Source organism: Homo sapiens, chromosome 1, assembly GCF_000001405.40.
Source record: "Homo sapiens chromosome 1, GRCh38.p14 Primary Assembly".
Lineage (NCBI taxonomy): Eukaryota > Metazoa > Chordata > Mammalia > Primates > Hominidae > Homo > Homo sapiens.
In genome coordinates, this window is record NC_000001.11 from 160,523,447 (window position 1) to 160,549,185 (window position 25,739).

Consider the following 25,739-nt stretch of genomic DNA (forward strand, 5'->3'; position numbering starts at 1 on the left):
ATGTAAAAGTCTGTAAGGAATTTCCTAAAATCTACTAGAACAAATAAATGAGTTCAGCAAGGTGAAAAGATACAAAATCAAAATATAAAATTCAATTGCAATTGTATATACTAGCTATGAGTAATCCAAAAATAAAATTCAAAAAACAATTCCACTCTAATTACATTAGAAAAAAATATTTAAGTATAAAGCTAAGAAAAAGCCAAAAGAAAACTGATTTTTTAAAATTATACTTTAAGTTCTAGGGTACATGTGCACAATGTGCAGGTTTGTTACATATGTATACATATGCCATGTTGGTGTGCTGCACCTATTAACTTGTCATCTACATTAGATATTTCTCCTAATGCTATCCCTCCCCTTGCCCCCCACCCCGTGACATACCCCAGTGTATGATGTTCCCCTACCTGTGTCCATGTGTTCTCATTGTTCAGTTCCCACCTATGAGTGAGAACATGCGTTGTTTGGCTTTCTGTTCTTGTGTTAGTTTGCTGAGAATGATGGTTTCCAGCTTCATCCATGTCCCTGCAAAGGACATGAACTCATCCTTTTTTATGGCTGCATGGTATTCCATGGTATATATATGCCACATTTTCTTTATCCAGTGTATCATTGATGGGCATTTGGGTTGGTTCCAAGTCTTTGCTATTGTGAACAGTGCTGCAATAAACATAAGTGTGCATGTGTCTTTATAGCAGCATGATTTATAATCCTTTGGGTATATAACCAGTAATGGGATTGCTGGGTCAAATGGTATTTCTAGTTCTAGATCCTTGAGGAATCGCCACACTGTATTCCACAATGGTTGAACTAGTTTACACTCCCACCAACAGTGTGAAAACATTCCCATTTCTCTACATCCTCTCCAGCATCTGTTGTTTCCTGATTTTTTAATGATTGCCATTCTAACTGGCATGAGATGGTATCTCATTGTAGTTTTGATTTGCATTTCTCTAATGACCAGTGATGATGAGCTTTTTTCATATGTTTCTTGGCCGCATAAATGTCTTCTTTTGAGAAGTGTCTTCATATCCTTTGCCCACTTTTTGTTGGGGTTTTTTTTTTTTTCTTGTAAATTTGTTTGAGTTCTTTGTAGATTCTGGATATTAGCCTTTTGTCAAATGGATAGACTGCAAAAATTTTCTCCCATTCTGTAGGTTCCCTGTTCACTCTGATGATAGTTTCTTTTGCTGTGCAGAAGCTCTTTAGTTTAATTAGGTCCCATTTGTCAATTTTGGCTTTTGTTGCCATTGATTTTGATGTTTTAGTATTGAAGTCTTTGCCCATGCCTTTGTCCTGAATGGTATTGCCTAGGTTTTCTTCTGGGGTTTTTGTGGTTTTAGGTCTAACATTTAAGTCTTTAATCCATCTTGAGTTAATTTTTGTGTAAGGTATAAGGAAGGGAACCAGTTTCAGTTTTCTGCATAATTGCTAGCCAGTTTTCCCAACACCATTTATTAAATAGGGAATCCTTTCCCCATTGCTTGTTTTTGTTAGGTTTGTCAAAGATCAGATGGTTGTAGATGTGTGATGTTATTTCTGAGGCCTCTGTTCTGCTCCATTGGTCTATATATCTGTTTTGGTACCAGTACCATGCTGTTTTGGTTACTGCAGCCTTGTAGTATAGTTTGAAGTCAGTTAGCGTGCTGCCTCCAGCTTTGTTCTTTTGGCTTACAATTGTCTTGGCTATATGGGCTCGTTTTTGGTTCTGTATGAAATTTAAAGTAGTTTTTTCTAATTCTGTGAAGAAAGTCAATAGTAGTTTGATGGAAATAGCATTGAACCTATAAATTACTTTGGGCAATATGGCCATTTTCATGATATTGATTCTTCCTATCTATGAGCATGGAATGGTTTTCCATTTGTTTGTGTACTTTCTTATTTCCTTGAGCAGTGGTTTGTAGTTCTCCTTGAAGAGGTCCTTCACATCCCTTGTAAGTTGTATTCCTAGGTATTATATTCTCTTTGTAGCAATTGTGAATGGCAGTTCACTCACGACTTGGCTCTCTGTTTGTCTATTTTTGGTGTATAGGAATGCTTGTGATTTTTGCACATTGATTTTGTATCCTGAGACTGCTGAAGCTGCTTATCAGCTTAAGGAGATTTTGGGCTAAGACAATGGAGTTTTCTAAATATACAATCATGTCATCTGCAAACAGAGACTATTTGATTTCCTCTCTTCTTATCTGAATACCCTTTACTTCTTTCTCTTGCCTGATTGCCCTGGTCAGAACTTTCAATATTATGTTGAATAGGAGTGGTGAGAGAGGGCATCCTTGTGCTAGTTTTCAAAGGGAATGCTTCCAGATTTTGCCCATTCAGTATGATAATGGCTGTGGGTTTGTCATAAATAGCTCTCATTATTTTGAGATACGTTCCATCAGTACCTAGTTTATTAAGAGTTTTTAACATGAAGGGATGTTGAATTTTATCAAAGGCCTTTTCTACATCTATTGAGATAATCATGTGGTTTTTGTCATTGGTTCTGTTTATGTGATGAATTACATTTATTGATTTGCATATGTTGAACCAACCTTGCATACCAGGGATGAAGCCAACTTGATTGTGGTGGATAAGCTTTTTTTTTTTTTTTTTTTGAGGTGGAGTCTTGCTCTGTCGCCCAGGCCAGAGTGCAGTGGAACAATCTTGGCTCACTGCAAGTTCCGCCTCCTGGGTTCATGCCATTCTCCTGCCTCAGCCTCCTGAGTAGCTGGGACTGCAGGTGCCCACTACCACGCCCAGCTAATTTTTCTGTATTTTTAGTACAGACAGAGTTTCACTGTGTTAGCCAGGATGGTCTCGATCTCCTGACCTCATGATCCACCCACCTCAGCCTCCCAAAGTGCTGGGATTACAGGCACGAGCCACCATGCCCGGCTGGTGGATAAGCTTTTTGATATGCTGCTGGATTCAGTTTGCCTGTATTTTATTGAGGATTTTTACATCAATGTTCATCAGGGATATTGGCCTAAAATTTTCTTTTTTTGTTGTGTCTCTGCCAGGTTTTGGTATCAGGATGATGCTGGCCTCATAAAATGAGTTAGGGAGGAGTCCCTCTTTTTTTATTGTTTGGAATAGTTTCAGAAGGAATGGCACCAGCTCCTCTTTGTATCTCTGGTAGAATTCGGCTGTGAATCCATCTAGTCCTGGGCTTTTTTTGGTTGGTAGGTTATTAATTACTGCCTCAAATTCAGAACTTTTTATTGGTCTATTTAGGGATTTGATTTCCTTCTGGTTTAATCTTGGGAGGGTGTATGTGTCCAGGAATTTATCCATTTCTTCTAGATTTTCTAGTATTTGTGTAGAGGTGTTTGTAGTATTCTCTGACGGTAGATTGTATTTCTGTGGGATCAGTGGCAATGTCCCCTTTATCATTTTTTATTGTGTCTATTTGATTCTTCTCTTTTCTTCATTAGTCTGACTAGCTATCTATTTTGTTGATCTTTGCAAAAAACAGCTCTTGGATTCATTGATTTTTGAAGGGTATTTAGTGTCTCTATCTCCTTCAGTTCTGCTCTGATTTTAATTATTTCTTGTCTTCTGTTAGCTTTTGAATTTGTTTGCTCTTGCTTCTCTAGTTCTTTTAAGTGTGATGTCAGATGTGAATTTTAGATTTCTCTTGCTTTCCCTTGTGAGCATTTAGTGCTATGTTTCCCACTACATACTGCTTTGGCTGTGTCCCAGAGATTCTGGTACATTGTGTCTTTGTTCTCATTGGCCTTAAAGAACTTATTTATATCTGCCTTAATTTTTTTATTTACCCAGTAGTCATTCAGGGCAGATTGTTCAGTTTCCATGTAGTTTTGTGGTTTTGAGTGAGTTTCTTAATCCTGAGTTCTAATTTGATTGTACTGCGGTCTGAGAGACAGTTTGTTATGATTTCCATTCTTTTGCATTTGCTGAGGAGTGTTTTACTTCTAATTATGTGGTCAGTTTTAGAATAAATGTGATGTGGTGCTGAGAAGAATGTGTCTTCTGTCAATTTGGGGTGGAGAGTTCTGTAGATGTCTATTAGGTCCTCTTGTTCCAGAGCTGAGTTCAAGTCCTGGATATCCTTGTTAATTTTCTGTCTCATTGATCTGTCTAATATTGACAGTGGGGTGTTAAAGTCTCCCATTATTATTGTGTGGGAGTCTAAGTCTCTTTGTAGGTCTCTAAGAACTTGCTTTATAAATCTGGGTCCTTTGTATTGGGCACATATCTATTTAGGATAGTTAGCTCTTTTTGTTGCATTGATCCCTTTACCATTATGTGATGCTTTTCTTTGTCCTTTTTTATCTTTGTTGTTTTAAAGTCTGTTTTATCAGAGACTAGGATTGCAATCCCTGCTTTTTTTTTCTTTTCATTTGCTTGGTAAATATTGCTCCAGCCCTTTATTCTGAGCCTATGTGTGTCTTTGCCCATGAGATGGGTCTCCTGGATACAGCACACTGATGGGTCTTGACTCTTTATCCAATTTGCTAGCCTGTGTCTTCTGATTGGGGCATTTAGCTCATTTACATTTAAGGTTAATATTGTTATGTGTGAATTTGATCCTGTCATTATGATGCTAGCTGGTTATTTTGCCCGTTAGTTGATGCAGTTTCTTCATAGTGTCGATGGTCTTTACAATTTGGTATGTTTTTGCAGTGGGTGGTACCGGTTGTTCTTTTCCATGTTTAGTGGTTCCTACAGGAACTCTTGTAAGACAGGCCTGGTGGTGACAAAATCTCTCAGCATTTGCTTATCTGTAAAGAATTTTATTTCTCCTTCACTTATGAAGCTTAGTTTGGCTGGATATGAAATTCTGGGTTGTAAATTCTTTTCTTTAAGAATGTTGAATATTGTCCTCCACTCTCTTCTGCCTTGTAGGGTTTCTGCCAAGAGATCTGCTGTTAGTCTGATGGGCTTCCCTTTGTGGGTAACCCGACCTTTTTCTCTGGCTACTCTTAACATTTTTTCCTTCATTTCAACCATGGTGAATCTGAAGATTATGTATCTTGGGGTTGCTCTTCTCGAAGAATATCTTTGTGGAGTTCTCTGTATTTCCTGAATGTGAATGTTGGCCTATATTGCTAGGTTGGGGAAGTTCTCTTGGATAATATCCTAAAGTGTGTTTTCCAGCTTGGTTTCATTCTCCCCATCACTTTCAGGTACACCAATAAATGAAGGTTTGGTCTTTTCAGATAGTCCCATATTTCTTGGAGGCTCTGTTCATTTCTTTTCATTCTTTCTTCTCTAATCTTGTCTTCATGCTTTATTTCATTAAGCTGATCTTCAGTCACTGATATCCTTTCTTCTGCTTGATGGATTCAGCTATTGATACTTGTGTATGCTTCACGAAGTTCTTGTGCTGTGTTTTTCAGCTCCATTAGGTCATTTTTGCTCTTCTCTAAACTGGTTATTCTAGTTAGCAATTCCTTTAATCTTTTTTCAAGCTTCTTAGCTTCCTTGCATTGGGTTAGAATATACTCCTTTAGCTTGGAGGAGTTTGTTATTACCCACCTGCTGAAGCCTATTTCTGTCAATTCATCACACTCATTCTCCTTCCAGTTTTGTGCCCTTGCTGATGAGGAGCTGTGTTCCTTTGGAGGTGAAGAGGCATTCTGGTTTTTGGAATTTTTAGCCTTTTTGCACTGTTTTTTCCCCACCTTCATGGATTTATCTCCCTTGGTCTTTGATGTTGGTGAGCTTCAGATGGAGTTTCTGTGTTGACATCCTTTTGGTTAATGTTGATGCTATTCCTTTCTGTTTGTTAGTTTTCCTTCGAACAGTCAGGCCCCTCTGCTGCAGGCCTGCTGGAGTTTGCTGGAGGTCCATTCCAGACCCTGTTTGCCTGTATCATTACGGAGGCTGCAGAACAGCAAAGATTGCTACCTGTTCCTTCCTCTGGAAGCTTCATCCCAGAAGGGCACCTGCCAAATGCCAGCTCGAGCTCTCCTGTATAAGGTGTCTGTCGACCCCTGCTGGGAGGTGTCTCCCAGTCAGGAGGCATGGGGGTCAGGAACCCACTTGAGGAGGCAGTCTGTCCCTTAGCAGTGCTAGAGCGCTGTGCTGGGAGAACCGCTGCTCCCTTCAGAGCCAGCAGGCAGGAATGCTTAAGTCTGATGAAGCTAAGCCCACATCCGCCCCTTCCCCCAGGTGCTCTGTCCCAGAGAGATGGGAGTTTGATCTCTAAACCTCTGACTGAGGTTGCTGCCTTTCCTTTAGAGATGCCCTGCCCAAAGAGGAGGAATCTAGAGAGGCAGTCTGGCTACAGCAGCTTTGCTGAACTGCCCTGGGGTCTGCCCAGTTCAAACTTCCTGGCAGCTTTGTTTACACTGTGAGGGGAAAACCGCCTACTCAAACCTCAGTAGTGGTGGATGCCCCTGTCCCCACCAAGCTCGAGCTTTCCAGGTCGGCTTCAGACTGCTGTGCTGGCAGCAAGAATTTCAAGGCAGTGGATCTTAGCTTGCTGGGCTCCATGGGGGTAAGATCCGCTGAGCTACACCATTTGGCTTTCTGGCTTCAGCCCCCCTTTTCAGGGGAATAAATGGTTCTGTCTCACTGGTGTTCCAGGTGCCACTGGGGTATGGGAAACAAAACAAAACAAAACCTCCTGCAGCTAGCTTGGTGTCTACCCAAATGGCCACCCAGTTTTGTGCTTGGAACCCAGGGCCCTGGTGGTGTAGGCACCTGAGGGAATCTCCTGGTCTGCAGATTGTGAAGACCATGGGAAAAGCGTAGTATCTGGGCTGAAGTGCAACATTCTTCATGGGACAGTCCCTCCCAGCTTCCCTTGGCTAGGGGAGAGATCCTCAACCCCTTGCGCTTCCAAGGTGAGCTGGGTACCTCAACTGGAAATGCAGAAATCACCCCACTTCTGAGTTGATCTCACTGGTTGCTGCAGACTGTAGCTGTTCCTATCTTGTCATCTTGCCCAGTAGTCAAGTGCACAAATCTTAATTGTGCAATGTGAATTGGAAATTTCACTTTCCATCTATATACTTTTTCCATTTGGAGGTGATTATTTTATTGTGGTAAAATAACCTAAATTATATATCGTGGCTATGTAATCTAAAATTTATCATTTTAACCATTTTAAGTGTACAATTTAGTGGCATTAATGCACAATGTTGTGCAGTCATCAACACTATTTCCAAAGCCTTTTCATTACCCCAAACGGAAACAGTGACCATTAAGCAATGGCTCCCCGTTCCCTTTTCCTTCAGTCCCTAGTAACCTATAATCTACTTATTGTTTCTATTAATTTGCAGGTACCTTATATAAGTGGAATCATACAACATTTGTCTTTTTGTGTCTGGCTTATTTCACTTAGCATAATGTATTCAAGGTTTATCCATGTTGTAGCATGTATCAGAATTGTATCCTTTTTTACAACTAAATAATATTCCATTATATGTATGTACCACATTTGCTTATCTATTCATCTATTGGTGGATACTTGGGTTGTTTCTATCTTTTCTCTATTGTGAATAATGCTGCTATGAACATTGGTGTACAGGTATCTGTTTGAATTCCTGCTCTCCATTTCTTTGGATTCACCTAGGAGTGAAATTGTTGGATCATATGGTAATTCTATGTTTACCTGTTGAGGAACTGCCAAACTGTTTTTCATGATGGCTTCATCATTTTACATTCTCACCTGCGATTGGAAAAAGGGTTCTAATTTTTCCATATCTTTGCCAATATTTTTTATTTTTCATTTTTTGATAATGATTATCCTAATGAATGTGAAGTGGTATCTCATTATGGTTTTGACTTATATTTCCTTAATTACTAATAATGTTGAGTATCTTTTCATGTGCTTATTGGCCTTATTGGCAATTTGTATATCTTCTTTGGAATAATATCTATTTAAGTCCTTTGCCCAAATTTAACTTGGATTTTTTTTTGGGGGGGGGGTTGTAGAGTTCTTTATGTATTCTAGATATTAATTCCTCATCAGATATTTGATTCTCTCTCTCTCTCTCTCTCTCTCTCTCTCTCTTTCTCTCTCTCTCTGCCCCACCCCCCACCTTACCGAGGCTGGACTGTACTGCCGTGATCTCACCTCACTGCAACCTCCCTACCTCGGGCTCCCTTGATTCTCCGGCCTCAGCCTGCCGAATGCCTGGGATTCCAGGCATGTGCTGCCACACCTGACTGGTTTTTGTATTTTTGGTGGAGACGGGGTTTTGCCGTGTTGACTGGGCTGGTCTCCAGCTCCTGACCTCGAGTGATCTGCCCGCCTCGGCCTCCCGAGGTGCTGGGATTGCAGACGGAGTCGCGCTCATTCAATGCTCAATGTTGCCCAGGCTGGAGTGCAGTGGCATGATCTCAGCTGGCTACAACCTCCACCTCCCAGCTGCCTGCCTTGGCCTCCCAAAGTGCTAAGATCACAGCCTCTGCCTAGCCGCCACCCCGTCTAGGAAGTGAGGAGCGTCTCTGCCTGGCCGCCCATTGTCTGGGATGTCAGGAGACCCTCTGCCTGGCCACCCCATCTGGGAAGTGAGGATCGCCTCTGCCCAGCCACCACCCCGTCTAGGAAGTGATGAGCGTCTCTGCCTGGCCGCCCATCATCTGGGATGTGAGGAGCACCTATGCCCGGCCGCCCCGTCTGGGAAGTGAGGAGTGCCTCTGCCCAGCCGCCACCCCATCTGGGAGGTGAGGAGCATCTCTGCCCAGCTGCCACCCCGTCTGGGAAGTGAGGAGTGCCTCTGCCCAGCCACCACCCCATCTGGGATGTGAGGGGCGCCTCTGCCCGGCTGCCACCCCATCTGGGAAGTGAGGAGCGCTTCTGCCCGGCCGCCCTGTCTGGGAGGTGAGGAGCGCCTCTGCCCAGCCACCCCATCGGGGAGGGGAGGAGTGCCTCTGTCCAGCCACCCTGTCTGGGAGGTGAGGAGCACCTCTGCCCGGCTGCCCTGTCTGGGAAGTGAGGAGCCCCTCTGCCTGGCCACCCATCATCTGGGAGGTGAGGAGTTCCTCTGCCCGGCCGCCCTTCATCTGGGAGGTGAGGTGCGCCTCTGCCCAGCCACCCCACCTAGGAAGTGAGCGCCTCTGCCCAGCCACCCCGTCTGGGAGGTGAGGAGCGTCTCTGCCCAGCCACCCCTTCTGGGAGGTGAGGAGTGTCTCTGCCCGGCCGACCTGTCTGGGAAGTGAGGAGAACCTCTGCCCAGCTGCCTATTGTCTGGGAAGTGAGGAGCACCTCTGCCTGGCCACCCCGTCTGGGATGTGAGGAGCACCTCTGCCCGGCCGCCCCATCTGGGATATGAGGAGTGCCTCTGCCCAGCCGCCACCCCGTCTGGGAAGTGAGGAGCACCTCTGCCTGGCCACTGTGCAATCTTCCAAGTGTGAAGTGACAGCCTTTCTGCAGGTGTACCCAACAGCTCTGAAGAGACAGCAACCATTGAGATCGGGCCATGACAATGGCGGTTTTGTCGAAAAGAAAAGGGGGAAATGTGGGTAAAAGAAAGAGAGATCAGGTTGTTACTGTGTCTGTGTAGAAAGAAGTAGACATAGGAGACTCCATTTTGTTCTGTACTAAGAAAAATTCGTCTGCCTTGGGATGCTGTTAATCTATAACCTTACCCACAACCCCGTGCTCTCTGAAACATGTGCTGTGTCAACTCAGGGTTAAATGGATTAAGGGCGGTGCAAGATGTGCTTTGTTAAACAGATGCTTGAAGGCAGCATGCTCGTTAAGAGTCATCACCACTCCCTAATCTCAGGTACCCAGGGACACAAACACTGTGGAAGGCTGCAGGGACCTCTGCCTAGGAAAACCAGAGACCTTTGTTCACGTGTTTATCTGCTGACCTTCTCTCCACTATTATGCTATGACCCTGCCACATCCCCCTCTCCAAGAAACACCCAAGAATGATCAATAAATACTAAAAAAAAAAAAAAAGATATTTGATTTGTTAATATTCTCTCCAATTCTGTGTGTTGTCTTTTCACTCTCTTCACAGTGTCTTTTGATACAGTATAATTTTTTATTTTGGTGAAGTCTAATTTTTTTTTTTTTTTGAGATGGAGTTTTGCTCTTGTTGCCCAGGCTGGAGTGCAATGGTGTGATCTTGGCTTATGGCAACCTCTGCCTCCCGGGTTCAAGTGATTCTCCTGCCTCAGCCTCCCAAGTAGCTGAGATTACAGGCATGCGCCACCATGCCCAGCTAATTTTGTATTTTTAGTAGAGACGAGGTTTCTCCATGTTGGTCAGGTTGGTACTGAACTCTTGACCTCAGGTGATCCACCTGTCTTGGCCTCCCAAAGTGCTGGCATTACAGGTGTGAGCTATATATATTACAGATATAGAAAGAAATATCTAGATTTCTTTTGGTGCCTGTGCCTTTATTGTCATATTTAAGAAATCGTTGCCAAATGCAATGTCATTAAGATTTTCTATATGTTTTCTTCTAAGATTTTTATAGTTTTGGCTCTTACAGATAAGTCTTTGTTATGTTTTCAGTTAATTTTTATATATAGTATGTGGTAGGGGTCCAACTTCATTCTTTTGCACGTAGATGTCCAGTTGTCCCAGAACGAATTGTTGAAATGACTGGCCTTTCCCTCATTGAGTGCTTTTAGAGCCCTTGCCAAAGATCGTTTGACTACATATTAAAGGGTTTACTTCTGGGCTCTTGACTCTATTTCATTGGTCTGTATTTGATTACTGTACCTTTGTAGTAAGTTTTGAAATCAGGAAGTATGAGGCCTCTAACTTTCTTCTTTTTTGAGACTATTTTGGCTACTTGGTGTCCGTTTAGATTCAATATGAATTTTAGTATGAGTTTTCCTATTTGTGCAAAAAAATCTTTGGGATGTGATAGGGATTGCATTGAATCTGTAGATTGTATTGCCATCTTAATAATATTAAATCCATGAACACAGGATGTCTTTCCGTTTATGTATGTCTTCTATAATTTCTTTCAGCAATGCCTTAGAGCTTTCAGTGTACAAGTATTCCCCTACTTGGTTAAGTTTATTCCTAAGTATTTTATTCTTTTTGAAGTTATTGTAAATTAAATTGTTTTTCTTATTTTTTGGATTGTTTATTGTGAGTTTATAGAAATGGAACTGATTTTTACAGTTGATTTTGTATCCTGTAACTTTGCTGAATTTTTAATTAGCCCTAAGAGTTTTTGTGTGTGTGCTTGTGTGGATTTTATACACATGAGATTATATTATCTTTAGGATTTTATATATATGAGATTATATTATCCATGAACAGAAATCATTTTGCTTCTTCCTTTCTAATTAAGATGTCTTTTATTTCTTGTTCTTGTCTAATTTTTCTAGCTAGATCTTCTAATGCTACACTGAACACAACTGGTAAAAGTGAGCATCTTGTCTTGTTCCTAATTTTAGGAGAAAAACTTACAGTCTTTCACCATTGTATGTGATGTTAACTGTGGATTTTTAATATATGGGCTTTATTGTGTAAAAAGTTCCCTTGTATTTCTAGCTTGTTGGATAGTTTTTATCATGAAAGAATATTGAACTTTGTCAAATGCCTTTTCTGTGTCAATTAAAATGACCAGTTTTTTTCTTTCATTCTGTTAATGCAATATATTACATTGAATGATTTTTGTATGTTGAACTATCCTTGCATTCCAGGAATACATTTCACTGTCATGTTGTATAATCCTTTTAATATGCTGCTGAATTTTGTTTGCTACTTATTTTGTAAGAATTTTTATATAAATATTTATAAGGAATATTGGTTTGTAGTTTTGTTTACTTTTAGTGTCTTTGTTTGGCTTTCGTATCAGGGTAGTGCTGGTGTCACAGAGTGAATTAGGAAGTGGTCTCTTCTTGTTAAGGACTGAGTGTTTATGCCTCTACAAAATGTATATATTGAAGCTCTAACCCCCAATGTGATGATATTTGGAGATGGGGACTTTGAGAGATAATTAGGTTTGGATGAGGTCATGTGAGTGGGACCCTCATGATGAGATAAGCATACTGATAAGAAAGGAGAGACTAAAGTTCTTGCTCTCTCTCTACCACATGAGGGCGTATTGAGAAGTTGGCCACCTACAAGCCAGGGAGAGTTTCACCAGCAATTGAATCAGCTGGCACCTTGATCTTGGACATCGAAGCCTTCAGAACTGTGAGAAATAAATTTCAATTGTTTAAGCTACCAAGTCTGTGGTATTTTGTCATGGAAGACAGAGTGAATTAATATATTTATCTTCAATGTTTAGAAGAGTTTAAGAAGGATTAGTGTAAAATCTTTTAAAACTCTTTGGTGACCAGTGAAGCCTTCTGATCCAGGACTTCTCCTTGTTGGGAAGTTGTTTTAAAATTATTTACTTAATATTCTTAGTAGTTATAGGTCTAATCAGATTTTCTATTTCTTCATGATTCAGTCTTTGTAAAAATTGTGTCTACTTCATCTATGTTATCCAATTTGTTTGTAGTAGTCTCTTCTATTCATTTCTGAAAAATTGGTTGTAGTGTCCTCATTTTCATTTCCAATTTTAGTAATTTGAGCACTCTGTCTTTTTTTCCATAACCACTCTAACTAAATTTGCCAATTTCGTTGATCCTTTTAAGTAATCAACTTTTTGGTTCATTAATTTTCTCTATTTTATCTCTGGTCTAATCTTTATTATTTTCTTTATTTTGATAGCTTTGGGTTCATAGTAGTGGCACTTTCCCACTTGAGATCTGAATTAAGTGAAATAGAGACCAGTTCTTCATGGACTCCTAAGACAGATTAGAATATTGCAAATAAGATCTGTTATGTTCCCTCCCATTCAAGAGAGGGAACTGAGAAGTGAACTCCTGCCTCCTCTAAACAAGCTTTCTGTTGGGATGAGGAGGGGATGGGGCAAGGGCAAGAAAAATGCCATGGAACTTTTCCTACCATTTCAAAAGTGGCTTTTTCTTCATTGGGCATTTGATTGGTTGTTATAAAACTCTGACTGTTTTCCAGAGTCCCTATAAGGTTAATTCAACCATTTGGGTTTTTTTTTGTTTGTTTGGCTGTTTTTTTATTACTCTAAGTTGGGGGAAAGAGAGAGTTTGGAATTTCCTAGTCCACCACTTTGCTGACATCACTCTCTCTATCTCTATACTTTTACACTGATTTTTAAAAAGATGATAGAAATGTGTTCACATATTTCTTAAGTAACTAAAAATTAGTGACATTATCCAAGATCTTGGTGGATAAATAATATTCTCTCTGAAGAACCAATGCCCCTTAGAAAAATGACTGATTCTAGATGTGAGATAGCCTCTTATATGTATTTCTTGACTCACTTTACTAACAAGGATCTTCAATACAATACAGTTGAAGAGTAGCAGTGATCTTGTATTCACTGAATACAAGAATGGTTACTTGTATTCATTTCTTTATTAAGAATGCCTCTAATGTTTCCAATAAATGTTTGCTACATATGCTGTATCAAGTTGTAAAAGTTTAACCCGAGCCAGTCATTTGCTTATTTGCTCTCAGCTCTATTCCCACCCTTCTGTGTTCCTTGTTTTTCAGAAGGTTAGAAGTCTGCAAACTACATTTATCATTTCCATTGTCAGATGGCTTCTGATTAGATTTTGTCACTGGGTGGTATTGGTTAAAGTTGGATGGAAGGAATAAATTATATATTTTTCCATAATCTTGGTTTCTGGTAATGTTTTCAGTAGTGGCAGTGATAGCAGAAGATGAGTACCGCTTCAGGGTTCCTGGTGTAGCAGTGCAGTTCCAGCAAGCATGTCAGAAGTCTTGCTAGTGTGGTACTGGTGGGATCAGGCTTTGATGGTGGCATCTGCAGTGGTGAGTTATTTTTGTCTCCCAGAGTCTCACAGTTTTGATGAGACTGTGAACTCTTAGAATCTTGAAAGCTGGCAGCACTGATTCCCAAGACAAATTTCCATAGGGACAAAGTTCCATAGCAACTTCCTGGAATTATTAATTGCTTGGTAACCTCAGCTTCCCTGTTTTACTCCTCCATCACTTTTGGAATCAATTCCCTATATTCAGCTTGTTGAGTTTTCAGTATTTAACATGGTCTCAGTTTTTTAAAATTGGATATTGACTAAAACACATTCTATTTTTAGCTTTCTTGAAAACTTTTTAAATCAGTCATGGGTATTCAGTTTTATCAAATATATATTGTAGACTATGTCAGGATGATTATTTTTTTCATCTCCTTTAATCTGTTTGAACAGCAAATTACAATAGATGGTTTCTTAAAGATAAATCATCCTGGCACTCTAAGGATAAAATCCTACTTGGTCGCATTTTTTTTTCTTTTAATGCATTGCTTTAAAATTGACTGAAGTTTAAGATTTTTAACATTTATATTTATAAGTGAGATTGGACTATATCAGGATGTGGCAGACTTTTTCTGTAAAGGTCCCAGTAGTGAATATTGGACTTTGTGGACCATACAATCTCCTTTGCAACTACTCAACTCTGCTGGTGTAGTATGGAAGCAGCCATAATAAACACATAAAAGAATGCGTGTTGGCTGTGTTTCAATAAAACTTTATTTATGGATGCTGAAATTTGAATTTCACATAATTTTAACATGTCCCAAAATATTATTATTCTTTGAATTCTTTTCAACCATTTTAAAAATGTAAACTATTCTTAGTTCGTGGGTCAAATAAAAACAGATGGCAGACTGGATGTGGCCACACGCCATAGTTTGCTAACTCCTGGCCTATGTATCTCTTTGTGGGGGATCATCCTTATCTGGCTTTGGAATCAGTGTTATATTATAGTATTTAATGAATTTGGAAGCTTCCCACTGTTTTCTATGCCTTGGGACAGTTAAGATGACTGGGAATTATCCTTTCATTGTAGGTGATAGGACTAGCCCTTAAGACCATCTAGGCTGGTACACTTTTGGCAATTAGACCACTGAATATCTTTCCATTTTTTTTCAGGTTAAAGAATTTCTTCTAATTATAAACTAACTTTCTCTCTCTCTTTCTTTCTTTCCTTTCCTTTTCTTTTTTTTTTCTTTCTTTTCTTTCTTTTGAGAAAGAGTCTTGCTCTGTTGCCCAGGCTGGAGTGCAGTGGCACCATCTCAGCTCACTGCAACCTCTGCCTCCCGGGTTCAAGCAATTCTCGTGCCTCAGCCTTCCAAGTAGCTGGGACTACAGGTGTGTGCCACCACACCCGGCTTTTTTTTTTTTTTGTTTTTGTACTTTTAGTAGAGACGGGGTTTCACCATGTTGACCAGGCTGGTCTTGAACTCCTGGCCTCAAGTAATCCACCCACCTCAGCCTCCCAATACAGGCGTGAGCCACTGTGCCAGGGCTTAATTATAAATTTTCAACTTATAAGTTATTACATATACAAAGCCTTATACCACAGCAATCCATTGGTCCTTTCTGCCACCAGATGACATTAGCATGGCCAATATAACCATTATTTGTGTTTTGGAAAGATCACTCTGGTTGTGGTGTAGAGAATGGATTGGACTGGGAGCAGGCACGACTGCAAGAGGTCAAGTGCTATTGTCTGGGTAAGAGATGATGGCAACCTGGACTACTGTAGTTAGTGGTGAAAGAGAGGTAGATAGATTGTAGTGACATTCAGGAGTTGTGTTGGGGTTTTCAAGACCACCCCCAGATTCAGTCATTCAGTAGGAGGACTCACAAGACTCAGCATATAGCCATAGTCATGGCCGATTTATTACAGTGAATAAACACAAAGAAAATCAGCAAAGGCAAAAGGGCAAAGTCCAGAGGAAACCAGGTGCAAGCTTCTAGAGTCCTCTCATAGTGGAGTCAAACAGGATGTATGTAATTCCTTCAACAACATGTTGTGTCATGTTTGAAATGTAATCTACCAAAGAAGCTCGATGGAGCCTAGGCATTTAGGGTTTTTCTCTGCAGGCAGTAACGTAGGCACCCTCTACCTAGCATGCACCAAAATTCCAGAATCCAAGAAAGAAAGCAGATATTCAGCAAAAAACAAATTGTTGTGCCAACAATTTAGGTACAGTGTAAGTACCTTATCAGGGAATTCTTATCAGGGAATGGTAGGAACCGTCCCAAAGTCCAAGTTCTCAGACACCAGCCAAGGGCCAACCTTATAAGCATGCCCTTCAAAGGACAGCAGTTTTAGCCCTGCTGTGTTAACTCTTCTGTGTCTCCTGCATAGCAGGTAAAATCAATATTTTCTAGTGCATTTCCAACCAAGGGTTTTATAGAATCTATGAAGGTAATATACTTCAGAAATAAACAGTATACCTGGCTTTGTCGTTGATACATATGCCAAAGGATTGTAACATGCCAGCTAACACAGTTAAAGGCTGATAAGCTATTGCGTCTTCAATAATTAAAGTATTACAAATTGAGGACTACTTGCACTGGGTCAGGCACTGTGGATACAAATGGTGACAAAACCACGCATGATCTGTGTCCTGATGGAACTCACAGTCCAGTGACGGAAGAGAGGAATTAATAAAATAATCACAGGGAGAAATATTTAAAGACAAAATTGAAAACTGCTGTAAAGGCAAGAGGTGTTGTACTATGAGCGCAAAACACGGGCATCAGATATGGCCTGGAGGAACAGGGAAAACTTCCCCCCAGGAAGGGACGCTTGAGCTTATCCCAGAAGAATGAATGGGCATTGTGTGAATGAGTGAAGCTGTGTATTGGAGGTAGTGAGGGTAAGGAGGTGGAGGTAATTTCAAGCTGAAAGTCCTATGGCTAATGTGTAGATGAAATGAAATGAAATGTGCCAAACCTCAGAAAGCACTGGAGAAACACTAGCGAAATTTATCTTCTCAAACGGTTGCTGTATCTGCCTACAGAGTTTCTACACAGGGACTCCGAAATTCTACATGGGTAGCAGTCAATTTCAACCCCACAAGAAGATGTAGGTGGGGAGCTGGAAGACCAGGCTTATCTGCAAACGCTGGCTCAGAACAGAGCAGCTGTGGCCTCTGATAAGCAGGGAATAGAGGAAGTGGTTTTGTCTCAGGCCTAAAAACCATTTGCTATCTCACAGCGCCTGTTAGTAAGTCACCTCCCCTTCAGTGTTTACCAAACATTCAGAGGCCCTGCACCTACAGTTCTGTGGAAACCACAACCTCATTCTCCTCAGTTAAAAGCCCAGTCTTTTTATCCCTTTCCTCCAAGTGGCACTATGGGTGACACAGAGAATTTCTACTCTCCAATTTGGGACTCGGACTCTGAATGTGGTTTCCAGGACTCTCTTTCCTCTTCTGATATGTGGGTGCCAATCCAAATTCAGTTCAACAAATACTTACTAAGCTCTGCTAGGCATTGGCTCCTGTGATAGGGCACTGTGAGTGAAAAATGAATAAGACAAAGCTTCTTCCCTGGAGGGAGATGACCCCCAAAACGTGATTTAAGTCCTCAATTTCCTCTCTCTAGGTTGACCAAGGCAGAACTCTCTTCTCCACCTTAACCAAGCACCTCTGCTGCCCTCCGGGTTTTTTCTGTTTCTGGCATTTGTCCTTCCTGTCTCTAGCTTCTCAGTCTCCTCTCAAGGTCCCAATCATCTCTCTACATCAGCTTTTCTTTTTTTCTTTGTCTGTCTTATACCCTCAATCCCTTGGTCTCTTGTGTCCACTCAGGGCCTGGGTTTTCAGACAGCACAGGGCTTTTATCATGTGGACTGTCTCCTTTGCTGTTTCATCTGTTTACTTCATTTTTGTTGCTCTCAAAAACCAAAACAAAGTAAAACACAAAATAGATGCATTATAAAATAATATTTATTGTGTCCTGCTGAAATGGAGCTTGTAGTCTCATTTCTTAGGCACTTACAAGGTAAAATTTATGAACCATACTTTATTAATGGGCATTTACAAATGCCTGAAATAAAAGGTGACTTGTAGAAGGGATAATATATCTTATTGCAAACATGACACCTAGCTTCTGGAATACGGTTAGTGGCATTTGCCACTAGTGAGCATAATTTCCATGTTCAAATGAATAATGAACTAATCAAAAAACCTTTTTTTGAGGAACTGAGGCACTCAGACACAAAACACAAAATTAGGCACTCAGACAAAAAGCAACTTATTAGCCAGTTGGAGAGAGAGCTAAGAAATACCATATCTATATAATTATCAGAGAATGTGATAAAAAGCTACTACTCTGTACTTGTGTGCCAAATGCTGTAAAAGTATAAATAGAGGGCAATATATTTCGCTTTGGACGGGAGGTTTTAGAAGGCCGCACAAGAGGGATATTCAGTCTGATGCTTGATGTAGACAGAAGGGAGAGAAGGGCATCCCAGACAACATGGGCAAAGGCATGGGAGGATTTGGTGGGTGTGTGGGCCCATGATAATTCTGTGTGGCTGGAGCCTTAGGGAGCAGGCAGGAGACAGCCTGGAAGGTCTGATGGGTCAGATTGCTAAGGAGTGTGGTTCCCCAGGAAAAACATTTTAGTGTGGAAGTGAAGTGATAAGATCCTCATTTTAGAAAGATTGCTCTTTATGTAATAGCAACCCAGGTAACACGTGATAAAGCAATGATCTGAGGGAGTGAGCATGTAGAGGGAAGGTGTATTAGAGAATTAGGCCAATTAAGGGCACATGCCTGAGAGGAGCCATATAGAGAAGTTGGAATTGACAGGACCTATTCTCTGACTAGATGTAGAGGGGATCTGGGGTGACAGGGAGAATGAAGGAGCCAAGGATGAAAAAGTTTTCTGCCTTGGGTAGCTGCTGATTGGTGAAGCAGTGAAGAATAGCAGTTCTGCACCCAGCCCCTGGAGTTGAATCCTGGCTTTTCTATTTACTAGGATGAGCTACTGTGATTCAGCCTTAAAGACTTCACCTTTCTGTGACCCAGTTTCCTACTTTGTAAAAGAGAGCATGGTTGTATCTTCTTCAGAAGGCAGATGAGATTTAATGTTTCTTATGGACTTTAAATGAGTAAATGTAAAACAGGACAGGGAATAGTACATAGTAGGCACTGGATAAATGTTAATTATTTTGATTATGGTGGATCATTAGCATAGGAAAAACACAAGGAAAGCAAGTTGGGAGGTCAGAAACAGACCTGTGAGTTAGATTTTGGACACGCTAAACTTGAGGTGACTTCTGACATCTATGCAGAGATGACCCATAAACTATTGGAAATACAAGTTGTAAATGAAAGAGTTGAGATTATGAGCATTTAAAAATTCTCTGATGAATAATCTATGTAATTATTTGCCTACAATAAGAACTTATAAGAAAAATATTTCTCATTTGCAAAGATTTGGCCATTTTCCAGTCTCAGAATTGATCCATCCCAAACCCAGAGACTTGTACAGGGCTGTTGAGAACTGTCTGGGCAATCAGCCAGCAACAGTTAATAATTATCATCCATTCCTTTATGAATTCCCAAAGTCTGCAAGTCTCTAGAGAATGTATTAGTCATTACTTTCCTCCCTCAAGTCAGAATTCAGGACTTTTTTAATGGTCCTTTGTCGAAATGTATTAACACTTTCATATGTTTTGAAAAATTACTGGACCCCTCACACTTGGATGGGGGCTTATTTAAGTCTAAACATGCACAGTTGTTTTTTTTAACCACTAAATTGTTCAGCACAATTCCCCAAATTCTTATCTCTTCTTTTGTTTCTGTTATTTTTGTGATTTTTAGTAGTGGAAATTTACAGTTTCTCTTATTTTATATTAACTCATCAGAATGTTTATGACCTGAAACCCCTGCCTGTCCAAAATGCATATAGAGAGCTCTATCCAACCTTCTTTAATTAAATGGGCATTTTCAGCAGGAAAGTTGAGTGGTTATCCAGATAGCAATGGAATTAATATATTAATATATTTACTTTGAGCTGCTTTTAGTACCTTAAAATATTACTATATGCAAATATTCATTTAGTAGATATTTGTGGTCCACCTATTATGTGTCAAGCAAAGTGCCAGGTGTGTGTACACCTAAGGCCAAGTACCAGGTAGGGAGAATCCACAGGAGGTAAAAAAGGGCCACATGGCAGAGTACAAGTGCATGGCCCTTGGTGACAAGAAGTCTTGAATTCAAATACTGTCTTCCCAGCTTTCCAGATTTGCCAAGGTATTCATATGTCAGCCTTAGTGTTAACTGGAAGAATTAATTTCTACTTTACAAGGCTGTCATGAGTATTGACAACAATGTATGAAGCATCTAGTTTAGCAGTTGGTATACAAAATAAGCCCTCAATGATTCTTACAGGCTCCCTATCTTCAAGGAGCTCTCCATTATTATTTATTATTATTATTATTATTATTATTATTTAGGTATATCCCCTGTTCTCTCAGTCTAACTGGGGAGGCAGATATAGCATCAGGTAAGTAGACTGTGGTATAATAACGAGGGGAACAAACATTGCTTATAACAAAATATATCTGAATAAGGAGGGATGAGAGTTAAAAGTTTGATATACAACATTAATTTTGCATAATACTAGCAGCATTTCTGTTGTAAGAAGCTTATTTCATGAATTTAGATTAGCATCTTCTGAAGATTTCAGGCCTAGAACAGCTTATAAAAAATTTCCCGAACTTTGCCATGCACAGGCACATTCCTGTATGAGCAACACCTCATTTAATCCCCACATCAACCTTAAAAGGTAGGCACTATTATTATCCCCATTTTACAGATGGACAACCTGAGGTACAGCGAGGTTAAAGTAACTTGCCTAAGGTCACATGACTAAGAAACCAGGATGCAGACCCAGGCACTCTACTGTCAGAGCCCACATTTATGACCACTCATTATATTTCCTCTTATTGTCTTTGTTCTTCAAACTTTTTTTTTTTTTTTTTTTTTTGAGACGGAGTCTCACTCTCTCGCCCAGGCTGGAGTGCAGTGGCGTGATCTCGGCTCACTGCAACCTCCACCTCCCAGGTTCAAGTGATTCTGTTGCCTCAGCTTCCTGAGTAGCTGGGACTACAGGCACGTGCCACCATGCCCGGCTAATTTTTTTGTATTTTTAGTAGAGACGCGGTTTCACAACCTTGGCCAGGCTGGTCTCGAACTCCTTGTGATCCACCCACCTTGGCCTCCCAAAATTCTAGGATTACAGGCATGAGCCACTGCGCCTGGCCTTCAAGCTTCATTTTACAATCAGTAGACACTGTCACTAATTATTGAGAAAATTTATACAAATCAAGGGAAATTCAGAGAAAAGTCAAACAGAAGAAAAATAATGAGTCTGGAAGAAAATATAGCCCAGCCATTCCTTCTCTCCAGGCAGGACCTAAGAAGTGCTCTCTGTGGACACGGCCCAAACCAGACAGGCCCCTTCCTGCCTGTGCCCGATTTCCAAGCTGGCCCAACCAGGCTATTCCCTCATAGCCTGTGTAGTTTACAGTGTTCTACAGATTTTTTAAATCATATTTTAAACAAGCTTCACTTTCTTCTTCTAAGAATCATGAGCTGCAACATTCCTCATTTTCTCAGTTGAGTCCCTCAGTAAAGCCCAAGGTGTCTGCAGGCAGGACTGTCCTAACCTACTAGAACTTTCCACCAGAGGGCTCTGTCTCTGAGACTTCCATTTTGATGCACATTTTTAAAAACTGGCACACTTTGGTCTGATACAAGATCCTGTTCCATGATGCTTTGATTTTATAGACCTCTTGGTCACAGTCTAGTTCATCTGGAAAGTTGTGGAGGGGAAAATAAGATCACATGCATTTTACAGAAGGAAAATCTAAGAACTAAGACCTAGAGAGAAGGGTGAACAGATAACGTGTTCATGAATCAGGAGATTCATAGCAGAGAAACTGAGAGGAGAGACAAGAGTAGGGTGTCCTGAGTCCAAAGGCTACCTTCAGAATTCCTGGGCTCTGGCTTCATCCCAGGTTTGCTCTTCTGGAAGACCTAACAGATCTAACCTGCTTCTGATTTTTATTTTTGACAATATGCATAGGGGCATTAGGACACTAGTAATTTTACTTGAGTGAGCATATTAGGAAGAGGAAGAGGGCAAGTTAGAGAATAAAGATGTTTGGGAATGAGTCTTCAACGCATCCACAGAGTGAGGAGTGGTTTTATTTTAGGATAAACGCAGCCTGTTCAGTGTCACTTTGGAATTCCTCCATCCTTTATGACCAAGCCTCTTTCCTCCTTCCTGCACGTCTCTTCTTGGGGTGCTGTCTTTCACCTCCTTACAACTGGTTAGGTGCTTCAGCTGACCTCTTAGTTGGTCTGCCTAACTCTGAAAGTCTTCTCCCTCCAAAGTGCCTTTACACTAGGAACAGCCTCTGATGTATGCATCCTGATATTATTTTATTTTATTTTTATTTTTTGAGACATGGTCTCACTCTGTTGCCCAGCCTGGAGTGCAGTGGCAGGATCTCAGCTCACTGCAACCTCCACCTCCCAGGTTCAAGCAATTCTCCCACCTCAGCCTCCCAAGTAGCTGGGATTACAGGTGTGCACCACCACGCCCAGCTAATTTTTTTGTATTTTAAGTACAGATGGGGTTTTGCCATGCTGGCCAGGATCCTCTCAAATTCCTGACCTCAAGTGATCCGCCCACCTTGGCCTCCCAAAGTGCTGGGATTACAGGCGTGAGCCACCGTGCCCAGCTGCATCCTGATATTTAATGCTTGCCAGAATTTGATTGCACCATGCTTATTGGCTTCTATCTTTTTTTTTTTTTCGAGATGGAGTCTCACTCTGTCTCTCCCAGGCTGGAGTGCAGTGGTGTGATCTCAGCTCACTGCAACCTCCACTTCCTGGGTTCAAGCGATTCTCCTGTCTCAGCCTCCAGAGTAGCTGGGACTACAGATGTGTGCCACCACACCTGGCTAATTTCGTATTTTTAGTAGAGATGGGGTTTCACCATGTTGGCCAGACTAATCTCGAACTCCTGACCTCAGGTGATCCGCCTGCCTTGGCCTCCCAAAGTGTTGGGATTACAGGCGTGAGCCACCACCCCAGCCGGCTTCCGTTTATCTGTAATTCCCACATGTACAATGTAGTGAGGAAAACAAATAATTAGTTATGCTGTAAGGCTGAATGAGATGAGTTTTAGTGATAGAAGGACCAAAGAGGAAAAAACAGCAGTGTGAAAAGATCCCTGATTAATTTTGATTCCTGATACCAGGGAAAGCTTTACAGAAGAGGTACCTTTTGAGGTGGGCATTGAAGGACATGTAAATGGACATGGGGTGAGGGCACACATCTGGCTGGGACACTCTGCCACACATAGGCAAGGGACTGTGAGCATGCATGGTGCATCTGGAGAGGTGCTCTGAATACACCCCACTGATCCAGGCCCCTGCTCATTTTTCATGCTTCTCTCACTTGGAGGCCCTCTGTCTTCCTCATTCTCTATCCAAATTTCATCCATCCTTCAAGGCCCAGCTTCAGCCCTGCCCCCTCATAAGGTATTTTTCTGACTGTTCATGCTATTACTTGCAGCTGCAGTTCAGCGTTAACTGTAGTGTCTGTGCTGGAATTGTCTCCTGAGCTACACAAGAGCAGACATTATGCACATCTTCTACTTTGGGGCCTTGCAGCTCCTAACATAGTGCTAATGGTAGTTGGTGCTAGATGAGTCTATGGATTCATTTACTGGGACTGATGTCTTTATCTGCCTAATTGCAGCCCATTGCTGTCCAGCCTAGGACTATTCATTGGGATTTAGGAGTTAGCCGATTATACTTGCTAACACATAAGGGAAACACTTCCTTAAATGATCATATGAATGTCTTGCTCAGTTGTGAATGATTCTTCCTCATTGAGGAGAGTTAATGCCTGTGTAAGCTGGCTGGTGATCTGTTTGTGGGGCATGCCAGGGTGGCGGCACTCTGCCTCAGCTTAAACTCTAGTTCTCTGAGTCTTTGGAACTGGGATGAACCCAGTTTCATCATCTGCACCATCATCTCCCAAGTTCCTTCTGGAGAATGACTCTGCTTCTTGCAAGGTCTTCTATTTTGATGGTTGGATTATACCCAGTTCCCCAGAAGTGTGAGAAATATAAGCTGGTCAGTTCCTTTTGGAGAGTGGGAATACTGGGCATGGCTGCTTCTTCTGCTGAGGCTGCTTGGAGTGATACAGAAGGAAATCTTGGCCAGAAAGAAAATCCTATAAGGCTTCTGAAGTAGCACTCCAAGAAAAGTGTCCCAGCAGTCTCTAGACCCTGCAGAAAGAACATTTTCCAACACTCCATTTGGAGAGTGTGTCTACATGGCTGAGAGCCACAACTCTGACAGAGACCCACACAGCACTGTCATCTGTGTTTGGACTTACTAAGCCTGTTATGCCCTGCACAAAGATTCCCAGACAAAGGGATGAGTGTGCTTATATGCAGCCCACATTCTGCTCTCCAAGCCATGCACTCGGGGGAAGGGCTGCATCTGCCTCAAGCGAAGGGTACATTTTCCTAATTTGCTCAAGATGCGTGGTGAAGGCCACGCACCAGGGATCTTCACACATACTGACTGTGAGCAGAGCATCTTGGCTGGTGTGCCATGGCCTATTACAGGTGTGCAAAATATTGATCCCCTTCTCCCACAGTTACTGGGCAGGGTTGTTACCTCCAGTCACAAGAGGCCTCTAGTCATATGCAGCTTCCAGAAGTGAGCAATCTTGCTTGTTTATCCCAGTGTGCCATAAAAATATTATTTTCTACATGTGCTATGATGGGAAGAAGTTTGGGAAAACTATACTAGGTAACCTGCTTTGTCATTCATTCAGAAGGGAGTCATTTCAGGAAGGGTATGCATCCATTTGTCCATTTAGGCACAAGCTATGCCCAGCAGAAGGTTTCCTGCTTTGCTTACAGGCTGAGATGTGGCAGTTTGCAATCTCCCAGTAAGAGTTGGGCAGAGAAGATCTGGATCCAGGGAACCTGCCAGTATTGGTGGTTGTAACTCAGTTTCCAGAGGGAGAATTCAGCCCAGCAGCCTAGATCACAATTTCATAGCTTGAAGTCCCAGGAGGTTTACTGTCCTGTGTGCTGGCTTTCCCCATCTGTGCAGGAGAGAAGCGTGAGAAAATGTTAACTGAGAGGTGCTGCTGGGGAACTCCAGTCCTGCAAGTTCCCAGAGGAGTTAAGCAAATGGCACGGGGGAATGCCTTAGATTTGCCTCATGCTGGGGAAATCTGGGGTAGCAGGGCCTTGTTCTTTGCTGAGTCCCTCATGTCTGCTCCAGCTACCCCCCATTTGGGAGGCCCTGAGCAATTAACTTCTTAGCCCAGAAAAGAGCAATGGGAGGGAATGGGGGCGGGGGCATATTTGGAATGGATTTTGATTATAGACTTGAGGCAACATTCAGGTTCAAGCTACCTGCATTCCTTGTTCCTAGTTGACCCCTAGTTTTTTTGTATCCCAATAACTCCACTTTCACCTATACATAGTGGGGACTCACTGCCAGCATCTCCTGTGCTCTAGGCATTTAGAGGGCTGCAAACAATCTTCCCATTGGTTTGAGGAGTCTTAGGTTTTCAATTAAATACTGACCCAATAATTGTTATCTAACTTGTCTTTAAGGATTTATCTTGAGATGTCACAATCCAGGATTCCATGATTAATCCCTCGAATTTTATCTCCTTCTAAGTTAAGTTACTCTTGTTCCTCCAACTCTCCTTGAGATCCTGGCACAAATATGCTGGGCACCCTGACCCTCACTTCTTGCCTGTCCTCCTTTTCTTCTCCTCTTCTTTCCTCATTCCTCCCCTTCTTTTTCTTTCCCTCCTTCCCTCTCCTGATCACTAAGAAAGTAAATGTCCCTCTATCTGGTTGTCCAGTCCATTTGGCTTATCTTTTCAAGCAAACTGCCCTGTGCTTCAAGTCCTCCTTAAAAGGAAGTAGCACTGCCCTGCTTGTCGAGCTCA

The 25,739-nt window shown here is 41.6% G+C and overlaps 1 protein-coding gene and 1 long non-coding RNA gene across 7 annotated transcripts in view, besides 3 other annotated features; one reads left to right on the forward strand and one right to left on the reverse strand.

Annotated features, from left to right (window-relative positions):
• The first annotated feature begins 13,649 nt into the window (after window positions 1-13,649).
• Window positions 13,650-25,739, forward strand: part of CD84-AS1 (CD84 antisense RNA 1) — a 34,038-nt gene continuing 21,948 nt past the window's right edge. The window contains exon 1 of the long non-coding RNA NR_188634.1: window positions 13,650-13,741. This is a non-coding gene — a long non-coding RNA (CD84 antisense RNA 1). The remainder of the gene's footprint in view (window positions 13,742-25,739) is intronic.
• Window positions 16,648-16,737: an enhancer, noted in NCBI's record as "active region_1930". NCBI's record gives its function as "activates an Ori minimal core promoter by ATAC-STARR-seq in GM12878 lymphoblastoid cells {active_cell/tissue: GM12878}" and the evidence as "EXISTENCE:reporter gene assay evidence [ECO:0000049][PMID:35858748]".
• Window positions 16,753-17,047: an enhancer, noted in NCBI's record as "tiled region #7182; K562 Activating DNase unmatched - State 5:Enh". NCBI's record gives its function as "activates a minimal TATA promoter and a strong SV40 promoter by Sharpr-MPRA in K562 cells {active_cell/tissue: K562}" and the evidence as "EXISTENCE:reporter gene assay evidence [ECO:0000049][PMID:27701403]".
• The window catches only part of CD84 (CD84 molecule), a 38,399-nt gene continuing 30,311 nt past the window's right edge, over window positions 17,652-25,739 (reverse strand). For all 6 annotated transcript variants that reach the window (NM_001184882.2, XM_011510095.3, NM_001184881.2 and 3 more), the window contains one exon: window positions 17,652-24,875. In NM_001184882.2, coding sequence (NP_001171811.1) covers window positions 24,810-24,875 — 66 coding nt within the window. In that variant the 3' untranslated portion in view covers window positions 17,652-24,809. The remainder of the gene's footprint in view (window positions 24,876-25,739) is intronic.
• Window positions 24,825-25,094: an enhancer, noted in NCBI's record as "active region_1931". NCBI's record gives its function as "activates an Ori minimal core promoter by ATAC-STARR-seq in GM12878 lymphoblastoid cells {active_cell/tissue: GM12878}" and the evidence as "EXISTENCE:reporter gene assay evidence [ECO:0000049][PMID:35858748]".